Here is a 24402-nt window from a genome sequence, read left to right as displayed (position 1 = left end):
AGATTACTGGGGGCAGGAAGATTATTGGGGGCCAAGGAGATGATTGGGGATCAGGAAGATTATTGCAGACCAGATAAAATATTGGGGCTTAATGGAAGTATTGGAAATTAGACAGGCTTTGGGAGTTAGGCAGGATTTGGGGGACTAGAAAGATTTTGGGGAACCAGAAAGAATACTGGAGACTGGAAAGATTATTGTGAACCACAGAGAATATTGAGGATTAGAGAGAATATTGGCGGCCAGGGAGAACCAAACAGATTTGAGGGGACTGGAGAGATTTTAGGGAACCAGAGAGAAGATTGGGGACAAACAAGATGATCAGGGCCCAGCAAGGATATTGAGGATCAGGGAGACCATTGGGCCCAGCAAGAATATTAAAGACCAGAAAGATTTTGGGGAAACAGACAGGTTTTGGGGGACTAGGGAGCTTTTGGGGAATCAGAGAATATTACAGACCAGAGAGATTATTATTTTTTATTATATATATTAAATATTTAATATTTTATTATATTATTATTATTTTTTTTTTTTTGAGACGGAGTCTCGCTCTGTCACCCACGCTGGAGTGCAGTGGCACAGTCTCAGCTCACTGCAAGCTCCGCCTCCTGGGTTCACGCCATTCTCCTGCCTCAGCCTCCCGAGTAGCTGGGATTGCAGGCACCTGCCACCATGCCTGGCTAATTTTTGTATTTTTAGTAGAGACGGGGTTTCACCATGTTGGCCAGGATGGTCTCGAACTCCTGACCTCAGGTGATCCACCCATCTCAGCCTCCCAAAGTGCTGAGATGACGGGCGTGAGCCACCGCGCCCGGCCAAGATTATTTTTATTTATTTTTTTATTTTTTTTTGAGATGGAGTTTCGCTGTTGTTGCCCAGGCTGGAGTGCAGTGACAAAATCTCGGCTCACTGCAACCTCCGCCTCCCAGGTTCAAGCAATTCTCCCGCCTCAGCCTCCTGAGTAGCTGGGATTACAGGTGCGCACCACCACGCCCAGCTAATTTTTGTATTTTTAGTAGAGATGGGGTTTCACCATGTTGGCCAGGCTGGTCTCGAACTCCTGACCTCAGGTGGTCTGCCCACCTCAGCCTCTTAAAGCGCTGGAATGACAGGCGTGAGCCACCGCGTGTGGCCGAGAGATTACTAAGAACCAGAAAATATTGAGGACCAGGGAGAATATTGGGGGCCAGATATTACTGGAAACCAGAGACACGTGTGAAGATTGAACTTCCCTTAAATCTTCTGAGACCTCGCTTGGGTCTGAGCATGCTTCCTGTTAACATTACCTGGCCCCACAGGCTCAGGCAGAAGGACCCTGACACCAGGCTTCTTCTCTGCCGGAGCTCAACAGACTCACTCACTGCAGATCCTCTTTTCCCACTGAAATTAGTTTCCATTTTGCTCAGAGCCCTCAGATGACTTCCTTAATACCTTCCAGTTCATCCTGAGACTCTGGAGGGTGGAACAGCAGTCTAAGGCCATGTACTGGGGACTGCCCACAAGGCACACAGAGGCGGACAAGGTTGGGGGTGTTTGTGGGATGGGGCGGGGGCCCAAGCTGAAGGCTGAGGTGGTTTAAAAGCCAGACCTTGATTCTCCTGGAGGCTGGACATCAGGTGTGGACAGGGCTGGTTCCTCCTGAGGCCTCTCTCCTGGGCTTGTAGATGCTGTCTCCTCCCTGTGTCCTCACGGGGTCGTCCCTCTCTGTGTGTCTGTGCCCTCATCTCCTCCTCTTATGAGATGTCTTAGTCCATCTCAGGCTGCTACCACAGAATACCATAGACTGGGTGGCTTAGAAACAAGAGACATTGATTCTCCCACAGCCCTGGAGGCTGGAAATCCAAGATTAAGGTGTGGGCAGGGGTGGTTCCTCCTAAGGCTTGTCTCTTTGGCTTGTAGATGCTGTTTTCTCCCTGTGTCCTCACAGAGTCGTCCATCTGTGTGTGTCTGTGTCCTCATCTCCTCTTCTTATGAGGTGTCTTAGTCCACTTCAGGCTGCTAACACAGAATACCATAGACTGCGTGGCTTATACACAACAGACATTGATTGTCCCACAGCCCTGGAGGCTGGAAGTCTGAGATCAGCGAACGGGCAGGGCTGGTTCCTCCTGAGGACTCTCTCCTTGGCTTGTAGATGACGTCTTCCCCCTGTGTCCTCACAGGGTCGCCCCTCTGTGTGTGTCTGTGTCCTCATCTCCTCTTCTTATGAGATGTTCTCGTCCATTTCAGGCTGCTATCACAGAATACCATAGACTGCGTGACTTATACACAACAAACGTTGATTCTCCCACAATCCTGGAGCTGGAGGTCTGAGATCCAGGTGTAGGCAGGGCTGGTTCCTCCTGAGGCCTCTCTCCTGGACTTGGAGACGCCATCTTCTCCCTGTGTCCTCACAGGATCATCCCTCTGTGTGTGTCTGTGTCCTCATCTCCTCTTCTTATGAGATCTCTTAGTCCATTTCAGGCTGCTATCACAGAACACCATAGACTGGGCGGCTTAGAAACGACAGACATTGATTCTCCCACAGTCCTGGAGGCTGGAAGTCTGAGATCCAGGTGTGGGCAGGGCTGGTTCCTCCTGAGGCCTCTCTCCTGGGCTTGTAGACACCGTCTTCTCCCTGTGTCCCCACAGGGTTGTTCTCTGTGCTTATATTTGTGGGAGAGGGGTGAAGAAGGGAGGAATGGAGGGAGGGAGAGAAGGAGGGAGTACGTGGATGCTCTGCGGTCTCTTCCTGTTTTTTTTTTGTTGTTGTTTTGTTTTTCTGAGGTGGAGTTTCACTCTTTTTGCCCAGGCTGGAGTGCAGTGGTGCAACCTCCGCTCACTGCAACCTCCGCCTCCCAGGTTCAAGCGATTCTCCTGCCTCAGCCTCCCAAGTAGGTGGGATTACAGGTGCCTGCCACCGCGCCTGGCTAATTTTTAGTATTTTTTTTTTTTTTTTTTAGTAGAGACAGGGTTTCACCATATTGGCCAGGCTGGTCTCGAACTCCTGACCTCAGGTGATCCACCACCCCCCGACCCCTCGGCCTCCCAAAGTGCTGGGATTACAGGCATGAGCCCCCATGCCTGGCCCTCTTCCTGTTCTTATAAGGAAATTTGTCTCATCATGGAGCATCTCTGCTGTAAACTCATCCCACCCTAATCTCCCCCAGAGCTCTCACCTCCTGACAGCATACTGAGGTTTAGGGTTGAAACCTATATATTTTGGGGTGATATAAACCTTCAGACAATAGCAGTGAGTAAGAGCCAGAGGGTATAGGATTTCTTTTTGGGGTGATGAAAATATCCTAAATGGCTGGGTACAGTGGCTGATGCCTGTAATCCCAGCACTTTGGGAGGCCGAGGCGGGTGGATCACGTGAGGTCAGGAGTTCGAGACCAGCCTGGGCAACATGGAGAAATCCCATCTCTTCTAAAAATACAAAATTAGCCGGGTGTGATGGCGGGCACCTGTAGTCCCAGCTACTCGGGAAGCTGAGGCAGGGGAATCGCTTGAACCTGGGAGGCGGAGGTTGCGGTGAGCAGAGATTGTGCCATTGCACTCCAGCCTGGGCAACAAGAGCAAAACTGTCTCAAAAAAAAAAAAAAGAAAGAAAGAAAATATCCTAAAATAGACTGCGGAGGTGTTTGCACAACTTAACGTTCTAAACCCAATGAACTGTAGATGGGTGAATTGCATGCTGTAGGAATTCTATCTCTACAAAGTTGTTTTTATCTTTAAAAAATAATAATAATAAAAGAAAAGAAAAAGGCAGGTTGGGCGCGGTGGCTGATGCCTGTAATCCCAGCACTTTGGGAGGCCGAGGTGGGTGGATTGTTTGAGGTTAGGAGTTCGAGACCAGCCTGGGCAACATATGGTGAAACCCCATCTCTACTAAAAATACAAAAATTAGCTGGGTGTGGTGGTGGGTGCCTGTAATCCCAGCTACTCTACTCGGGAGGCTGAGGCAGGAGAATTGCTTGAACCAGGGAGGCTGAGGTTACAGTGAGCTGAGGTAGTGTCACCGCACTTCAGCCAGGACAGCAGAGCAAGTCTCTGTCAAAGGGAAGGGAAGGGGAGGGGAGGGGAAGGGGAGGGGAGAGGAAGACAGGGGAAGGGGAGGGGGAGGGGGAGGGAAAGGGAAAGGGAAGGAAAGGGAAAGGGAAGGAAAGGAAAGGAAGGGAAGGGAAGGAAAAGGAAGGGAGGGGAGGAAAGGAAAGGGAAGGGAAGGGAAGGAAGGGAAGGAAGGGAAGGAAGGGAAGGGAAGGGAAGGAAGGGAAGGAAGGGAAGGAAGGGAAGGGAAGGGAAAGGAAGGGAAGGGAAGGGAGGGGAGGAAAGGGAAGGGAAGGGAAAGGAAAAGGAAGGGAAGGGAGGGGAGGAAAGGGAAGGGAAGGGAAAGGAAAAGGAAGGGAAGGGAGGGAAGGGAAGGGAAGAGAAGGGAAAGGAAGGGAAGGGAAGGGAGGGGAGGAAAGGGAAGGGAAGGGAGGGAAGGGAAAGGAAAAGGAAAAGGAAAGGAAAAGGAGGGGAAGGGAGGGAAGGGAAGGGAAGAGAAGGGAAAGGAAGGGAAGGGAAGGGAGGGGAGGAAAGGGAAGGGAAGGGAGGGAAGGGAAAGGAAAAGGAAAAGGAAAATAAAAGGGAAGGGAAGGAAAGGAAAGAAATGGAAAGGAAAGGAAAAGGAAAGGAAAGGGGCGGGTGTCCATACCAAGCACAGAACCCAGCTGTGGTAGGCAGAGAGAAGAGCCAGCCTGAGCAGACATCAAGATTAAACAGAATTGTACTTACCTGTGCAGGTGTTGGATGTGGGGAGATAATCCATCTTGGTTTGCCCTGGATTTATAAGGTATTTTCAGGACACAAGAACCTCAGGGCTAAAAGTGGGACAATTAAAGGAAAACGGGCACAAGTTGTTAACGCTATGTGTAGTGGGTTCAATGGTGCGTACCTGCAAAAGATAGGACCATGCCCTAACCCCCTGGAACCTGGAAACAGGACTTTGTTTGCTGAAAAAGTCTTTGAAGATGTGATTTAAGGGTTTGGGATGAGATCATCCTGGATTAGGGTGGGCCCAAAATCCAATGACAGGTTCACTTCTGAGAGACAGAAGAGGAGACACAGACACAGAGGAGGAGGCCATGGGGAGACAGAGGCAGAGACTGGAGTGATGGGGCCACAAGCCCAGGGACGCCTGGAGCCCCCAGGAGCTGGGAGAGGCAGGAGGGATCCTCCCTTAGAGCCTCCCAGAAGGAACTGGATACAATTGTAGTGGATTGAATAGTGGCCACCAGAAACATTTGTCCATATCCTAATGCTCAGAGTCTGTAAGACCTTATTTGGAAATAGGGTCTTTGCAGATGTCATTAAGTTAAGGACCTTGAGATTGGATCATTCTGGATTAGAGTGGGCCCAAAATGCAATGACAGCTGTCCTTGTAAGAGACAGAAGAGGAGACACAGACACAGAGGAGAAGGCCACGTGGAGACAGAGGCAGACACTGGAGTGATGCGGCCACAAGCCCAGGGATGCCTGGAGCCCCCAGGAGCTTGGAGAGGCAGGAGGGATCCTCCCCTAGAGCCTCCACAGGGAGGATGGTTGATATGGTTTGACTATATCCCCACCCAAATCTCACCTGGAATTGTAATAATCTTCACGGGTCTATGTTTATTGCAGCACTATTTACAATAGCAAAGACTTGGGACCAATCCAAATGCCCATCAATGATAGACTGGATAAAAAAAAAAGTGGCACATAGACACCATGGAATACTATGCAGTCATAAAAAAGGATGAGTTCATATCCTTTGCAGGGACGTGGATAAAGCCAGAAAGTCACTCTCAGCAAACTAACACAAGAACAGAAAATGAAATGCCGCATGTTCTCACTCATAAGTGGGAGTTGAACAATGAGAACACACAGACACAGGGAGGGGAACATCACACACCGGGGCCTGTTGGGGGGTGGGGGGGCAAGGGGAGGGAGAGCATTAGGACAAATACCCAATGCATGTGGGGCTTAAAACCTAGATAATGGGTTGACAGGTGCAGCAAACCACCATGGCATACGGATACCTATGCAACAAACCTGCAGGTTCTGCACATGTATCTCACAACTTAAAGTAAAATTAAATAATAATAATAATAATAATAATAATTTCCACATGTGAAGGGCAGGACCAGGCAGAGATAATTGAACTTTATGGGCAGTTTTCTCCCATACTGTTCCTGTGAGAGTAAATAAGTCTCAGGAGATCTGATGGTTTTATAAAGGGGACTTTCCCCTTTTCTCTTGCTTGCCACCATGTAAGACATGACTTTGCTCCTCCTTTGCCTTCCGCCATGATTGCGAGGTCTCCCTAGCCATGTGGAACTGTGAGTCCATTAAACCTCTTTCCTTTATAAATTACCCAGTCTTGGGTATGTCTCTTTTTTTTTTTTTTTTTTTGAGACGGAGTCTCACTCTGTTGCCCAGGCTGGAGTGCAATGGCATGATCTCAGCCCACTGCAACCTCCACCTCCCAGGTTCAAGCGATTCTCCTGCTTCAGCCTCCCGAGTAGCTGGGATGACAGGTACCCACCACCACGCCTGGCTAATTTTTGTGTTTTTAGTAGAGATGGGGTTTCACCATGTTGGCCAGGATGGTCTCAAACGCCTGACCTCAGGTGATCCACCCACCTCGGCCTCCCAGTGCGCTGGGATTACAGGCTTGAGCCACTGCGCCCAGCCAGGTATGTCTTTATTAGCAGCGTGAGAACAGACTAATACCGTGGGCCTGCCTGCACCTTAATCTCAGACTCTTCACCTCCAGGACTGGGAGATGATGAATTTCTGTTGTTTAAGTACCCCCAGTGTGGGGTCATTGTTTGCTATATCCCCAGGACACTCTTACACAGGAGACCCTGGACAGGAGACCCCCCCGCCAGCCTGGGAGCCTCTTCTCTTTGCTTACATATCTGGTGTGATGAGCCCTGGACCAAGGAGCTAGGAAAAAAAGGCAGAGGAACAGGTGGGCCCCCATATCACCGAAGGCAGAACACTTGCTCACCTGGAATTCCAGAAGGACACACCTGGCCATTGTGGGTGTTGTCAGCGAGTGATGTGGGACAGACGAGAGGACTCAGGTGGGGGAAGTTATAAGGCAGGAGGCCATGTGTCAATCAGGAAGAACTCTCAGACAACAGACAGCTAAGAGAATCGTGTCTGGAGCCCCAGAAGGGACCCAGCTGGCCATCCGTAGACATGCCGTTGAAGGCAATGCTCAGTGCCGTCAAGAGAATGGAAGGTGTCAACTTAAAATCACGAGATTGGTTGGGCAAGGTGGCTCCTGTCTTTCACCCCAGTGCTTTGGGAGGTTGAAGTGGGAGGACAGTTTGAACCCAGGAGTTGGAGGCTGCAGTGGGCTGTGATCACACCACTGCATTCCAGCCTAGGTGACAGACCGAGATCTCGTCGCTTAAAGAAACAAAAAATGACAAGATGTACACATTTGGAGAGGGGAGCTTGATTTGTATAGCCTAACAGGCTGGGAAATGTAGCCTCTGGCAGAAACTAAAAGTAGACATTTCGAAGAAGAAAAGACAGAGATGGGAATTTATGTTGAATGAGATGACCAAGCATACTTGTATTCAACAGGTTACAGGAGGAGCTATGAATTTTAATGAAGGGCATCCTGACACGTGGATACAGGACAAACATGCCTGTGGCAGAAGTTCCACATTCACTTGGGGGTAGAGACTTTTAACCTTTAATGTGCCCCAATGAGGCTGTCTATATCAAAAGGTGTTTTCTTTTTTTCTTTTCTTTTTCTTTTTGAGACAGAGTCTCACTCTGTCGCCCAGGCTGGAGTGCAGTGGTGCGATCTTGGCTCACTGCAACCTCTGCCTTCCAGCTTCATGCCATTCTCCTGCCTCAGCCTCCTGAGTAGCTGGGACTACAGGCACCTGCCACCACAGCTGGCTAATTTTTTTGTATTTTTTAGTAGAGACGGGGTTTCACTGTGTTAGCCAGGATGGTCTCAATCTCCTGACCCCGTGATCCACCCGCCTTGGCCTTCCAAAGTGTTGGGATTACAGGCGGGAGCCACTGTGCCTGGCCTCTTTTCTTTTTCTTTTTGAGACGGAGTCACACTCTGTTGCCCAGGCTGGAGTGCAGTGACGCGATCACGGCTCACTGCAACCTCCGCCTCCCAGGTTCCAGCAATTCTCCTGCCTCAGCCTACTGAGTAGCTTGGATTACAGGTGCACGCCACCGTGCCTGGCTTAATTTTTGTGTTTTTAGTAGAGATAGGGTTTCACTGTGGTCGCCAGGCTGGTCTTGAACTCCTGACGTCAAGTGATCCACCCATCTCAGCCTCCCAAAGTGCTGGTATTACAGGCATGAGCCACTGCGCCTGGCTGTCAAAAGGGGCTTCCAGAACACAGAGGCACTGAGTGTGCAGCCTCTGTCAACCATCCAGAACCAGCCCATTGTCAGAGTCTCTTACCAGGAGAAAGTGGCTGAAATTAATCTCTTGTGCGATCAAAGTTGTAGTTATGGCTGGTGGAGCAGGGGATCCGTGAGTGAGCATCTGTGAGCTGGACGAGCTTCACCAGTTTTCATATTGTTCATCTCCAAGCCAGGGCTCGTTCAGCTGCTAGAGAAAAACAAAAAGCTTGTATTAGTGAGGACACTGGTGGTGTTCCTCGCAGCTACTCTCCCAGAGTAGTGAGTCCATCACGCTCTAAGCCAGGTGTAGACAGATAGATGAATAGATATAGCTATTCGATGATTGATAGATATTGAGGTAGACGGATGAATAGATTAGATGATAGATGATTGATAGCTAGCTATTGAGATAGATAGGTAATACATAGATATAGATGACAGATTGACAGATATTGAGACAGATAGGTGGTAGATGATAGATGTATAAAGATGATAGATGAGATAGATAGATAGATGATAGATAGAGGATAGTTAGATACATGGTAGATACAATGAATGGATAGATACATAGATACATAGATGATGGATGGATGGATGGATGCATAGATAATATTTACATAGATGGATGGATACATAGATACATAGATGATAGAGAAGATAGATAGATACATACATAGATAGATAGAATGGATAGATACATAGATACATAGATGATAGATAGATAATAGAGATAGATAGATAGATAGATAGATAGATAGATAGATAGATAGGATGGATACATAGATGATAGATAGATAGATAGATAGATAGATAGACAGATAGATACATAGATAGATACATAGATGCATAGATAGAATAAATGGATGGATGGATGGATGGATGGATGGATGGATGGATGAACACATACAGGATAGACAGATGGATGAATAGATGGATAGATACATACATGATAGATACATAATAGATACATGATAGATACAATGAATGGATGGATACATAGATACATAGATGATAGAATAGATGGATGGATGGATGGATGGATGGATGGATGAATGGATGGATGGAGGGATGGATGGATGGATGCATAGATGATAGACACATACATGGATGGATAGATACATAGATACATAGATGATAGATAGATAATAGAAATAGATAGATAGATAGATAGATAGATAGATAGATAGATAGAATAGATGGATGGATGGATGGATGGATGGATGATGGATAGATAAATACATACAGGATAGATAGATGGATGAATAGATGGATAGATACATAGATGATGGATAGATAGATAGATGGCTAGACAGATAGATACATAGATGATAGAGAGATAAATAGATGGATGGCTAGATAGGTAGATACATAGATGGATAGATAGATAGATAGATAGATAGATAGAATGGATGGATACATAGATGATAGATAGATAGATAGATAGATAGATAGATAGATAGATAGATACATAGATACATAGATAGATACATAGATAGATACATAGATAGATGCATAGATAGAATAAATGGATGGATGGATGGATGGATGGATGGATGGATGGATGAACACATACAGGATAGACAGATGGATGAATAGATGGATAGATACATACAGGATAGATAGATAATAGATACATGATAGATACAATGAATGGATGGATACATAGATACATAGATGATAGAATAGATGGATGGATGGATGGATGGATGGATGAATGGATGGATGGAGGGATGGATGGATGGATGCATAGATGATAGACACATACATGGATGGATAGATACATAGATACATAGATGATAGATAGATAATAGAAATAGATAGATAGATAGATAGATAGATAGATAGATAGATAGATAGATAGAATGGATGGATGGATGGATGGATGATGGATAGATAAATACATACAGGATAGATAGATGGATGAATAGATGGATAGATACATAGATGATGGATAGATAGATAGATGGCTAGACAGATAGATACATAGATGATAGATAGAGAGATAAATAGATGGATGGCTAGATAGGTAGATACATAGATGGATACATAGATAACCAATATAAGGAGTCTCTCATGTGGGGATAACCGATATGTGGAGTTTCTCAGCCTCAGCACTGCTGACATTTTGGGGCTGGATGACACTCTGTGGCAGGGCCGTCCCGTGCAGTGTAGTGTGTTGAACGGTGTCCCTGGGCTGCACCCACCAGATGCCAGGAGCTCCTCCACCCCGTCATGACAGCCAGAGATGTCGCTGCTGCCCAGCGTCCCCTGGGGACCACAGTGGCCCCAGTTGAAAACCTTTGATCAACACTCAGCCTGGTTAATGGCAGCATGAACGCCACCTCCCCAGCTGACTGCCTGCAGCTCTGCCAGCCCCTGGGGCTTTCCATGGTTTTAGAGACACTCAGCAATACTGCCAGAACATCAGAGTCTGTTGTGAGGAATCTTATGTGACCTGCCCTAGGCCATTGCTGGATTTTTCCCCCAAACCCACAGGGCGTCGGGGGGACAGGGGCATCGTGATGAGAGGTCATCAGGCACACGCCATACGGGGTGAAAGAGGTGGGGGAGGCGGCAGGGAGGTCTCCTGAGGGATGGCGGTGTGGGTCCCGCCTGGTCCCGCCCGGCTGCAAAGACGTGGGGTGTGTGTTGAGTGCCAGACGGGGCTGGCTTGATTCAGGCGTGCCTTTACATGTTATCAGCCGTGGGTCTGACCACGGCCATGCCATGACCTAATAGCTAACCTCAATTTCCTCTTCTGTCAAGTGAGAAAAACCTTTACTTTCCCTCCCGTCACCACAGGGGTAGTGTACCCAGAAGCAGGCTCAAACTCAACATGAAGCTACTCATGAATGTGGCAGGGAGACATGGGAAGTCAGGCAGGGGGGCGGAAATCGCGCGTCGCCAACAGGAGGGGCCGGCACGTGGGGACTCCGCCGGGTGCTGTGACCGGGTGCCGTCACGGCCCCGAGCCTCAGTTTAGCAATCCACACAACAGGTATGTCGCCAGTACTGCAGGGACTCATGAGCTACCCCAGCTCCGAACCACCGTCGGCGGTCACCGGGGATATGAGCGACAGCTTTTCTGGCTCAGTGATGATTTTCAGCTAGGAAGGCTTGGGTGGGGTCCTGGCGTGTCTCCCGGGACAACTCCTCATCCAACGAGAGATGAGGTTGACTATTTCCAGGACTCAGGAAGTAGTGGGTGCTGACTGACAGGTGTTCAAGGACAATGTGGAATGTCAGGTCTCATCTCGTCCGGTGAAATCTAGGGGACTTCATCTTGGACACGCACAGAGAGAGCAAGTGAGGACGCCTGCCCTGATCATGCCTCTGAACTTAGACCCTCCTTGCTTCGCTCAGAGGCAGCTGGGGGTGTTGCATGTACGCAAGGGCTTCGGGAGGCTTTTGGAAACAGTAGACCACGGAACTTTGGGGCCCATGAGGACTCCGATTTGAACAAACAGGGACCTGATACCTTGAGACTTGACCAGGTCTGAGTTATTCTTGGTGGCCAGCTCCTAGGACCCCTGAATCCATGGACTCCTAGGACCCGTCCATTGCCTACAGAAATGAAAATGGCCAGAAAGTGGCCGGGCGCGGTGGCTCACGCCTGTCATCCCAGCACTTTGGGAGGCCTAGGTGGGCGGATCACGAGGTCAGGAGATCGAGACCATCCTGGCTAACACGGTGAAACCCCGTCTCTACTAAAAATACAAAAATTAGCCGGGCGTGGTGGCGGGTGCCTGTAATCCCAGGTACTCGGGAGGCTGAGGCAGAAGAATCACTTCAACCAGGGAGGCAGAGGTTGTAGTGAGCCAAGATTGCGCCACTGCACTCCAGCCTGGGCGACAGAGCAAGACTCCATCTCAAAAAAAAAAAAAGAAAGAAAGAAAGTGGCCAGCAAGTGACAAACGTCCAAAATGTCCAGGGTCCCTCTGAGTCACGGAGCTCATGGTGATGTCGTCAAGATTCTGGTCAACGTGGTAGATACATCTTTACATCCAAACACCTCTCTCTCTCCTCTGCCTTCTTTCTTTCCTGGACTCCTGATACCCCCAGCTCAGGGCTGAAAAGGAAGCATTTTCTCAATGGAAAGGACAAAGAGGCAGTCTTCTCTCAGAAGAGACATCTCCATCTATAGCCTGGTGGGCCACACCAGTTCTGTCTAGAAGGACACAAACTTCTGTCTTCTTTTGTCTACCCAATTAGCCTCCTGGCTCATCTTAGAAGGGGAAGGGCACAGGGGAGCATGTTTTAAGAAGGAAATTAAGCATCAGGCATGGTGGCTCACACCCGTCATCCCAGCAGTTTGGGAGGCTCAGGCAGGCGGGTCGTCTAAGGTCAGGAGTTCGAGACCAGCCTGGCCAACATGGCAAAACCCCGTCTCTACTAAAAATACAAAAATTAGCCAGGTGTGGTGGCGGGTGCCTATAATCCCAGCTACTAGGGAGGCTGAGGCAGGAGAATCACTTGAACCCGGGAGGCGGAGCTTGCAGTGAGCCAAGACTGTGCCACTGCACTCCAGCCTGGGTGACGGAGTGTGACTCTGTGTCAAAAAAAAAAAAAAAAAAAAAAAGAAGAAAGAAATTAAGATGCTTTGTTCAATGTAAAAAAGATATTCTTTTGTTACAAAGTTTAGAAATGGGAAATGATTTTTAAAAATGCAATACTCAAGGAATTTTACACAGGGGTAGAAATGGAAACTCTACTTGCAAGTCCTCCTCCTGGATTCTTTTGTTTTTTGTTTTTTGTGTTTTATTGTTTGTTTGTTTTTGAGACGCAGTCTTGCTCTGTCGCCCAAGCTGGAGTGCAATGGCGCCATGTCGGCTCACTGCAACCTCCGCCTCCCTGGTTCAAGCGATTCTCCTGCCTCAGCCTCCCGAGTAGCTGGGATGACAGGCGCCCGCCACCACACCCAGCTAAGTTTTATATTTTGAGTAGAGATGGAGTTTCACCATGTTGGCCAGGCTGGTCTCCAACTCCTGACCTCAGGTGATCGACCCGCCTCGGCCTCCCAGAAGGCTTTTTGTATCTTCCGAAGCTAGTGGATAATATTCTGAAATTGTTGATGAGACACCTAGCTTCATCTTCAGTTGTCTGCAGACACTCATCCAGTGCCTCCATGTGGAGTGGTTCCATTTTTCAGCCCTGTCCTTGCTGGCCACGAGGAAACTCAGTCCATGGACACTATCTGTGGTCATTAAGACGCCAAGGCCAACGGAAAGGCCGGTGACGAGGCCCTCTGTTGCTTCCTTCTCAGAAAGATAAAGATCTGCTTTCCACAGTCTCATCCGTTTTTGTGATGGGCAAGTGGCCAGAGTACCACGTCAGTCACAGAAACCCAGCTCAGGTCCTCTGAGACGCCCTGATTCACGTTTCCAATTTGAGGTTGAGCATGAGATTTTCTTCCTTTTTTTTTTTTTTTTGAGACAGAGTCTCTCTCTGTCACCCAGGCTGGAGTGCAGTGGTACGATCTCGGCTCACTGCAACCTCTGCCTCCCGGGTTCACGCCATTCTCCTGCCTCAGCCTCCCAAGTAGCTGGGACTACAGGCGCCTGCCACCACGCCCGGCTAATTTATTTTTGTATTTTTTTTAGTAGAGACAGGGTTTCACCGTGTTAGCCAGGATGGTCTCGATCTCCTGACCTTGTGATCCACCCGCCTCGGCTTCCCAAAGTGCTGGGATGACAGGCGTGAGCCACCACGCCTGGCCAATGCCCGGCTAATTTTTGTATTATTAGTAGAGACAGGGTTTCAGCATGTTGGCCAGGCTGGCCTCGAACTCCTGACCTCAGGTGATCCGCCCGCATCAGCCTCCCAAAGTGCTGGGATTACAGGCGTGAGCCACAACACCCGACCTAATTTTGTATTTTTAGTAGAGATGGGATTTCACCATGTTGGCCAGGCTGGTCTCAAACTCCTAACCTCAAGTGATCCACCTGCCTCAGACTCCCAAAATGCTGGGATGACAGGCATGAGCCACTGCACCCAGCCTGATCAGTTTTGACCACAGAGAACATTTCAACAGAGGGAAGTTTCCAGCACGTGGGATCCTTATGGTAGCAGGAAGTGAAACCTATGTTTAAATTTCAACACATGAACTGTTTTGCTGTCATGAGGTGGACAGGGTCACCACTAAAAGGCTTTCAAATCCAGGTCTACATCACATCAGGAGGCAATAAGATTGAAACAGAAGCTTCAAGGGGGGCAAAGAAGCATGTGGAATTCCCAAATCTTTTTTTTTTTTTGACACAGAGTCTTGGTCTGTTGCCCAGGCTGGAGTGCAGTGGCGCCATCTCGGCTCACCGCAACCTCCGCCTCCCGGGTTCCAGCGATTCTCCTGCCTCAGCCTCCCGAGTAGCTGGGACTACAGGCGCCTGCAACTACGCCCAGCTAATTTTTGTATTTTTAGTAGAGACGGGGTTTCATCATATTGGACAGGCTGGTCTCGAATTCCTGACCTCATGATCCGCCCGCCTCGGCCTCCCAAAGTGCTGGGATTACAGGCGTGAGCCACCACGTCCAGCAGAATTCCCAAATCTTTAAAGACAGTTCCTTTACAGGTTATTTAAGTGGATAATTGCCTGTAAAACACCAACATGATTACAGTCTATTCAGTTCCTCCAGAACAGCGACAAAGCAGCTGTGTTTGGTTTTTCTTGTTTTTTGTTTTGTTTGAGACTAAGTCTCACCCAGGCTGGAGTACAGTGGCATGATCTCAGCTCACTGCAACCTCTGCCTCCCGGGTTCAAGTGATTCTCCTGCCTCAGCCTCCTGATTAGCTGGGACTACAGGTGCCTGCCACCATGCCCAGCTAATTTTTGTATTTTTAGCAGAGACGGGGTTTTGCCACATTGGCCAGGCTGTTCTCGAACTCCTGACCTCAGATGATCCACCCGCCTCGGCCTCCCAAAGTGCTGGGATTACAGGTGTGAGCCACCACACCTGGCTAATTTTTGTATTTTTAGTAGAGACGGGGTTTACCACGTTGGCCAGGCTGGTCTCGAACTCCTGACCTCAGGTGATCTGCTCGCCCTGGCCTCCCGAAGTGCTGGGATGACAGGTGTGAACCACTACGCCCAGCTGGCAGTTGTATTTTAAGTAACAAAGCTCGTGGCATGTCAGAAAGTGCCTGCATCTTTCAAACTTGTTCAGTAGTAACATTAAAATTATTTTAGGGGTGCAGAGACAAAGCCATTTCTGTGAGTCCCCTGAGGCTGACACAAAAAATGCCACAAACTGGGGAGTTCGACAACAGGAATTTACTTTCTTACAGTTCCGGGGGCCAGAAGTCTGAGATCAAAATGTCTCAGGTCCGTGCTCCCTCAAGGAGCTCTAGGGGAGGGTCCTTCCTGTCTCTCCCAGCTCCTGGGGGCTCCAGGCATCCCTGGGCTTGTGGCCGCGTCATTCCAGGCTCTGTCTCCGTCTCCACGTGGCCTTCTCCTCTGTGTCTGCGTCTCCTCTTCTGTCTTTTACCAGGGCACCTGTCATTGGATTTAGGGCCCAGCCTAATCCAGGAGTATCTCATCTTGAGATCCTTAACTCATTAAATCTGCAAAGTTCTTATTTCCAAATAAGGTCTCATTCCAGGTTCTGGGCTCTAGGATATGGACATATCTTTCCAGGATCCGCTGTTCAACCCATTACAATTGGATCCAGTTCCCTCCGGAGGCTCCTTCCTGTCTCTCCCAGCTCCTGGGGGCTCCAGGCATCCCTGGGCTTGTGGCCGCGTCATTCCAGGCTCTGTCTCCGTCTCCACGTGGCCTTCTCCTCTGTGTCTGTGTCTCCTCTCCTGTCTCTTAGAAGGACACCTGTCATTGCATTTAAGGCCCACCCAGACAATGCAGGATTATTTTCTCTCAAGATCCACAACGGAATGAATCTGCAAAGACCCTCTTTTCCAAATGAAACCCCCTCCCCAAATAGCAGGGCTCAGGACACGGACATATCTCTGGGGGCCACCATCCAACCCAGCATGGGAGGCCCTCGATCTGGGTTTGCAGGTGGGGAAGGCTGCTGAGAGTAGGGACAGGGGCGGCTCACGTGGCAGCCAGCACAGGGGCTCTTCGGCAAAGCGTGTTGCCGGGAGGCAAACAGGGTCCCCAGAGAGTCAGTAGAAAGAGGAACCTGGCTCGCAGCGGGGTCCTGTCCCTGGCTGAGTGTCACCAACACTCACTCTGTGTTCGAAGTGGGGGAGGGAGGGGAGGAGGTTTGCCACCCCCACCCCTGCCCCCCGGGAGGACATGACCAAAACAGAGATAAGCAAATCCATGTTCTTGCTCGTGTATCTTCAGTGATGTGGTCCCACTCCTCATAAACCTAGACAGGACTTTATTTCCAAATAGAAAAATGAGGCCAGGCGTGGTGGCTCACGTCTGTCATCCCAGCACTTTGAGAGGCCGAGGTGGGTGGATCACCTGAGGTCAGGAGTTCAAGACCAGCCTGGCCACCACAGTAAAACCCTGTGTCTACTAATAATACAAAAATGAGCTGGATGTGGTGGCACACGCCTGTAGTTCCAGATATTCAAGAGGCCGAGGCAGGACAATCGTTTGAACCCGGGAGGCGGAGGTTGCAGTGAGGCAAGATCACAGCGCTGCACTCCAATCTGGGTGACAGAGCGAGATTTCGTCTCAAAAAATAATAATAATAATCAATAAAAATGAAAACTCGCCGGGCGTGGTGGCTCATGCCTGTAATCCCAGCACTTTGGGAGGCCGAGACAGGCAGATCACAAGGTCCAGATATCGAGACCATCCTGGCTAACACGGTGAAACCCCATCTCTACTAAAAATACAAAAAATTAGCCGGGCGTGGTGGTGCGCGCCTGTAATCCCAGCTACTCGGGAGGCTGAGGCAGGAGAATCACTTGAACCCGGGAGATGGAGGTTGCAGTGAGCCAAGATCGCACCACTGCACTCCAGCCTGGGCAACAGAGTGAAACTTTGTCTCAAATAATAATAATAATAAAAAATAAAAATGAAAACTAAGACGGGGCAATATAGTGAGACCCCTATGTCTACAAAAATAAATAATTAGCCAGCCATGGTGGTGAGCACCTGTGGTCCCAGCTGCTCAGGAGGCTGAGGTGGGAGGATCGGTTCAGGCCAGGAAGTTGAGGTTGCAGTGAGCTATATAATGTCACCATGGCACTCTAGCCTGGGGCAACAGAGCAAGACCTTATGTCTCCATAAATAAATACAGAAAAACGAAAGTGAAAATGAAAACGCATCAGAAAGTCAAACACAGGCCAAAAGTCTGCAAAGCACCGTCACAGGGATGCACAGAGTGCTTCCAGGGGTCTGATATTTACGTCCCTTGAAGTCGGACCGAAAACATTCAGATGTAAGCCTGGACATGGTATCTGAGAAGACACAGCCACCTCCTTCCAAGACGTAGTTCACAAGAGGGCCCTGGGACTCTCCGGCCAGCTCTGTGAGCTTTGGAAGATGGGCGTAGAGTCTGTCACAGGAAGGAAGGCTGGATAGCAGCCCTGTGGTAAAGTTAAAAGGTCAGGCTTAAAAATCCCCACCTCTCCCAGGACAGAACCGAGAGATTCAGGCCACCCTGGGCCAGACAGGCGGCCCCAGCTGCTTGGCCTGGAAAACCACCCAGGGGATTGTAATGGGTCATTTCCCTCTGGCGGGGAGGTTGTGTCTCCCAGAACCTCGGAGCCTGGGTGCTGCTGGGGGCTTTCCTGGTTTTAGCACACCCAAAATCCTATGTCCACGGCAGCCCATTGGTCGTCACAAACAGGGCTGGGGGTGGCGGCGGCTCAGAGCAATGGGCCTCTGTTGACTTCTAAAGAATTAACGTGGCCGGGCGCAGGGCCTCTCGCCTGTAATCCCAAGACTTTGGGAGGGCTAGGTTGGAGGATCACCTGGGGTCAGGAGTTCGAGACCAGCCTGGCCAACATTTAGTAGAAACCCCGTCTCTACCAAAAATACAAAAATTAGCTGGGTGTGGTGGCGTGTACCTGGAATCCCAGCTACTCGGGAGGCTGAGGCAGGAGAATCACTTGAACTCGGGAGGCGGAGGTTGCAGTGAGCCGAGATCACACCACTGCACTCCAGCCTAGATGACAGAGTGAGACTCCGTCTCAAAAAACAAAAAAAAAAATTAGCTGGGCATGGTGGTGCACGCCTGTAGTCCCAGCTACTTGAGAAGCTGAGGTGGGAGGATCACTAGAACCCAGGAGTTCAAGGCTGCTGTGAGCCATGATTGTGCCAATGCACTCCAGCCTGGGCAACAGAGTGAGACCCTACCTCAAAATAAGTACATAAATAAGAGAATAAGAAAACAATTACATTAACAATAACACCAAAAAGAATAAAACAGTTAGAAATTAATCATGAAAGTAGATTTGTACACCGAAAACTAAAAAAAAACATTAAAAAACAACAACAGGCCGGGCGCGGTGGCTCACGCCTGTCATCCCAGCACTTTGGGAGGCCGAGGCAGGCGGATCATGAGGTCAGGAGATCGAGACCATCCTGGCTAACACGGTGAAACCCCGTCTCTACTAAAAATACAAAAAATTAGCTGGGCATGGTGGTACACGCCTGTAGTCCCAGCTACTCGGGAGGCTGAGGCAGGAGAATGGCGGGAACCCGGGAGGCGGAGCTTGCAGTGAGCTGAGATCACACCACTGCACTCCAGCCTGGGCCACAGAGCGAGACTCCGTCTCAAAAAGAAAAACAAAACAAAACAAAACAAAACAAAAAAACAGATTCAAAAAATTAGAGATATAAATAAATAGAAAGACATCCCAGGTTGCCTCTTGTCTTGTTCCCAAGTTACTTACGGCTCTGTTTTGGGGAAATCATTTAGAAAGTTTTGGTCAGGTTGTTTGAATGTAGTATTTTAAATTATAGGGTTTTTTTGTTTTGTTTTGTTTTTATTTCTTTTTTTTCCTTATTAATACGTTTCACCTAATGACACATTTCCCATAAGTTATAGTTTTAATATACGCAGTAAATACATAGTACGTGAAACATTGCATTAAAGTTTGGGCGTAAGAGGCGATCTGGTGATAGTTTGCAGGAACATAACCAGTAGGTGTGGCAAGCATTACCTCATGCGTAAGAAAAGGCCAGGGCCACCAGGCATGGTGGTTCACGTCTGTAATCCCAGCATTTTGGGGGCCAAGGCAGGAGGATCACCTGAGGTCAGGAGTTCGAGATCAGCCTGGCCAACATGGTGAAACCCCGTCTCTACTAAAAATATAAAAATTGGCCAGGCGTGGTGGCACACACCTCGTGTAATCCCAGCTACTCAGGAGGCTGAGGCAGGAAAATCGCTTGAACCTGGGAGGCAGAGGTTTCACTGAACCGAGATCGTGCCATTGCACTCCAGCCTGGGGGACAAGAGTGAAACTGTCTCAAAAAAAAAAAAAAAAAAGAAAAGAAAAAGAAAAAGAAAAAAAACAGAGGGTTGGGTGCAGGGGCTCATGCCTGTAATCCCAGCACTTTGGAAGGCTGAGGCGGGTGGATCACAAGATAAGGAGTTCAAGATCAGCCTGGGCAACATGGTGAAACCCTGTCTCTACTAAAAATACAAAAATTAGCTAGGCATTATGGCACGCGCCTGTAATCCCAGCTACTCAGGAGGCTGAGGCAGGAGAATCGCTTGAACTCAGGAGGCGGAAGTTGCAGTGAGCCAAGATCGTGCCACTGCACTCCAGCCTGGGTGACAAGAGTGAGACTCCATCTCAAAAAATAACAGAGGGCCAGGTGCGGTGGTTCGCACCTGTCATCCCAGAACTTTGGGAGGCTGAGGAGGGCGGATCACAAGATCAGGAGTTCGAGACCAGGAGTTCAAGATCAGGAGTTCAGCCTGTGCAACATGGTGAAACCGCATCTTTACTAAAAATACAAAAATTAGCCGGGCATGGTGGCGCGTGCCTGTAATCCCAGCTACTCAGGAGGCTGAGGCAGGAGAATCGCTTGAACCTGGGAGGCAGATGTTGCAGTGAACCAAGATTGTGCCACTGCACTCTAGCCTGGGTGACAAGAGGAAAACTCCGTCTGAAAAAAAAAAAATACAGAGTTGGCTGTTGCAGGTCCCATAGTGTTGGGAGGTCACCTCTTGTGGGCTGTAACCAAGATGGGCTGGCCCTCTTCAAGTTTTCTTTCTTTTTCTTTTTTTTTTTTTTTTTTGAGACAGAGTCTCGCTCTGTCGCCCAGGCTGGAGTGCAGTGGCGCGATCTCGGCTCACTGCAAGCTCCGCCTCCCAGGTTCACGCCATTCTCCTGCCTCAGCCTCCCGAGTAGCTGGGACTACAGGCACCCGCCACCACACCCGGCTAATTTTTTGTGTTTTCAGTAGAGACGGGGTTTCAGCATGTTGGCCAGGATGGTCTTGATCTCCTGACCTCGCGATCTGCCCGCCTCGGCCTCCCAAAGTGCTGGGATGACAGGCGTGAGCCACCGCGCCCGGCCTCATCAACAGTTTTCTGACACTGTGGGTGCTGTTTAAAGTTCAGGAGCAGCTTGAGTCTCCAGGGCAAACCAGGAATCAGCTCGCAGGGAGCAGTTGGTCTTTTATTTTTATCCTTCATGCTCTCCGTGTCTGTTGGCTGGCACCCGGCGGGAGTGTACTGCTCATCCCTCTCTGCTTCTTACCTCCTCAGTCCTGCTTCCTGGGTTCAGCTGCCCCAAACCAAATACTCACAGCTTCCTGGATGGCAAGGACCCGCTAGGCTGCAGGTCTGACACCCACAGGCCTCCAAGCCGGTCCCAACAAGCCCCTCGCCGCCCCACTGCACCCCAAACCAACCATCTCTCACCAGCCTGGATGCTACTCCACACCTCAGCAAGTCCGGTACCTTCTTGGAGATGCCAGGCGTAATAACAAACAGAAAAGGCCATATTTGCTTGTCAGCATACTATTTATTTATTTATTTATTTTGAGACAGAGTTTACTCGTCACCCAGGCTGGAGTGCCGTGGCACGGTCTCGGCTCACCGCAACCTCCGCCTCCCGGGTTCAAGCGATTCTCCTGCCTCGGCCTCCTGAGTAGCTGGGATTACAGGCACCCGCCACCATGCCCGGCTAATTTGTGTATCTTTAGTAGACACAGGGTTTCACCGTCTTGGCCAGGCTGGTCTCAAACTCCCAACCTCAGGCGATCTGCCCACCTCGGCCTCCCAAAATGCTGGGATTACAGGTGTGAGCCACCGTGCCCGGCCTACACTCCAGCTTGGGCCACAGAGTGAGACCTTGTCTTGAAAAAAAAAAAGAGAAAACCCTAATTAACATGCTATTTAAAAAAAAAAACATTGATCTCTCTCTGTGATGTTTGAGTTTCTTTTTTTTCTTTTTCTTTTCTTTTTTTTTTTTTTTGAGACGGAGTCCCACTCTGTCCCCCAGGCTGGAGTGCAGTGGCGCGATCTCAGCTCACTGCAACCTCCACCTCCCGGGTTGAAGTGATTCTCCTGCCTCAGTCTCCTGAATAGCTGGGATTACAGGCACCCGCCACCACCACGCCTGGCTAATTTTTGTATTTTAAGTAGAGACAGGGTTTCACCATGTTGATCAGACTGGTCTCGAACTCCTGATCTCAAGTGATCCACCCGCCTCGGCCTCCCAAAGTGCTGGGATTACAGGCGTGAGCCACCACGCCCGGCCTGATGTTTGCATTTCTATCCATACTGGTTTACTAGCGGAGTGACTGAGTTTCTAAAATACTAATATTAAAAATACTTGGCCAGGTGCGGTGGGTGCCTGTCATCCCAGCTACTCGGGAGCCTGAGGCAGGAGAATTGCTTGAACCAGGGAGGCGGAGGTTGCAGGGAGCCGACATCGCGCTACTGCACTCCAACCTGGGAGACAGAGTGAGACTCCATCTCACAAAAAAGAAAGAAAGAAAGAAAAAAAACTCCCAGGAAGCAGTGTTGAATATCTTCCCAAGTCCTAGTTACCTACAAATGACTGCTCCGTCTGAAGCCGCGGCTGACTGAATGTTTTAAGGGGACACCACCTTCCTTCCCAGCCTGTTCCCTCCAGGAAAATAGTAGAGGACAGAGGCTCCAAGAAGTAGATTTGGGAACTGCAGACAAGTTGCTTCCTGTGAACTGAGCGGAGAGAGAGAGAAACCCTCTGAGAGGGCAGAGGGCAGGATCCCAGGGAGTCGCACCCGGGAGGGCTGTGGCTGTGGCTGTGAGCCTTCTCATGTGGCTCCCCAACGCCAAGGCAGGCAGCCACTGAACAATTGTGAATAACCATTTCCCACCCTGTAACGTGCTGTCTCTACTGAGAAGCTGGCGGGGGAGCATGACTCCAGATGGCCTCGAGATGGTCTTTGGGATTCAACAGCAGGGAGAAGCCAGTGGTACCCAAGTTGACGTCCATTCAGCCTAGGTCTCAGCAGCATCCCAAGTTCACTTCCATTCAGCCTAGGTTTCGGCAGCATCTCTGACGTCTGCCTTCTCCCAACTGCTTCAGAGTGGATGGGTAGTCAGCTCGGCCGCCGTAATAAAACACTGCAAACTGGGTGGACTGTAAACAACAGACATTGTTTCTCCCACAGTCCTGGAGGCTGGAGGTCTGAGATCCAGGTGTGGGCAGGGCTGGTTCCTCCTGAGGCCTCTCTTGTGGACTTAGAGACATCGACTTCTCCCTGTGTCCTCACAGGGTCATCTCTCTGTGTGTGTCTGTGTCCTCATCTCCTCTTCTTATGAGGTGTCTTAGTCCATCTCAGGCTGCTGTCACAGAATACCGTAGACTGGGGGGCTTATACACAACAGACATTGATTCTCCCACAGTCCTGGAGGGTGGAGGTCTGAGATCCAGGTATGGGCAGGGCTGGTTCCTCCTGAGGCCTCTCTCCTGGGCTTGGAGACGCCGTCTTCTCCCTGTGTCCTCACAGGGTCATCTCTCTGTATGTGTCTGTGTCCTCATCTCCTCTTCTTATGAGGTGTCTTTGTCCATTTCGAACGACTATCCCAGAATACCATAGACTGGGCAGCTTAGAAACAACAAACATTGATTCTCCCACAGTCCTGGAGGCTGGAGGTCTGAGATCCAGGTATGGGCAGGGCTGGTTCCTCCTGAGGCCTCTCTCCTGGGCTTGGAGATGCCGTCTTCTCCCTGTGTCCTCACAGTGTCGTCCCTCTGTGTGTGTCTGTGTCCTCATCTCCTCTTCTTATGAGGACACCGGTCCTATTGGATCAGGGCCCACTCCTGGTGACCTCATTTTACTGTAGTTAACTCTTTAAAGAGGTAACCTCCAAATACAGCCACATTGTGTGGTCCTAGGGGTTAGGACTTTAACGTATGAATTTGGGAGGGTACAATGCAGCCTGTAACAGACACAACACTCAGAAAATATATACTGAGCTCGCTGTTTGTAATAAAGGGCTCTCCCTTTAATTTTTAAGACAGGGTCCTGCTCTGTCACCCAGGCTGGAGTGCAGTGGTGTGAGTTCAATTCAGTTCCGAACAGTGAGTACAGTGCAGTTCAGCTCACTGCAGCCTCAAGCTTCCAAATAAAAAACTGTCTTAGCATCATCCAATGAGTACTGACTACTTTTAAATAGTGAATACGCAGCCGGGCGCAGTGGCTCATGCCCGTAATCCCAGCACTTTGGGAGGCCGAGGCGGGTGGATCACCTGAGGTCAGGAGTTCAAGACCAGCCTGACCAACATGATGAAACCCTGTCTCTACTAAAAAAAAAATACAAAAAAAAAAAAAAATTAGCCAGGTGTGGTGATGTATGCCTGTCTTCCCAGCTACTTGGGAGGCTGAGGCAGAATCATTTGAACCTGGGAGGAGGAAGTGACAGTGAGCGGAGACGGTGCCATTGCACTCCAGGTTGGGAGGCAGAGCGAGACTCAGTCTCAAAAGAAAACAAATAGTGACTATGGACATACATATTTTTAAAAATTAGTATTTTCACATAAAGCATAAAGTAATATCCAATATATCCAAGAGAAGCTGTCCTTAAGTTTAACCCATTTTCTAATCCTAAACTAACCCTTCTGAGGCAATGGTCCCGCATACATGGAGG

At 49.4% G+C, this 24402-nt stretch overlaps 1 protein-coding gene across 6 annotated transcripts in view; it reads left to right on the top strand.

Moving 5' to 3' along the window:
* Positions 1-24402, top strand: part of P2RY8 (P2Y receptor family member 8) — a 74605-nt gene that overhangs the window by 18228 nt on the left and 31975 nt on the right. The gene's annotated exons all lie outside the window — the stretch shown is intronic.

This window comes from Homo sapiens, chromosome X (assembly GCF_000001405.40).
Source record: "Homo sapiens chromosome X, GRCh38.p14 Primary Assembly".
Lineage (NCBI taxonomy): Eukaryota > Metazoa > Chordata > Mammalia > Primates > Hominidae > Homo > Homo sapiens.
The sequence above is the reverse complement of the archived record's forward strand: the minus strand, read 5'-3'. Positions and strand labels throughout refer to the sequence as shown.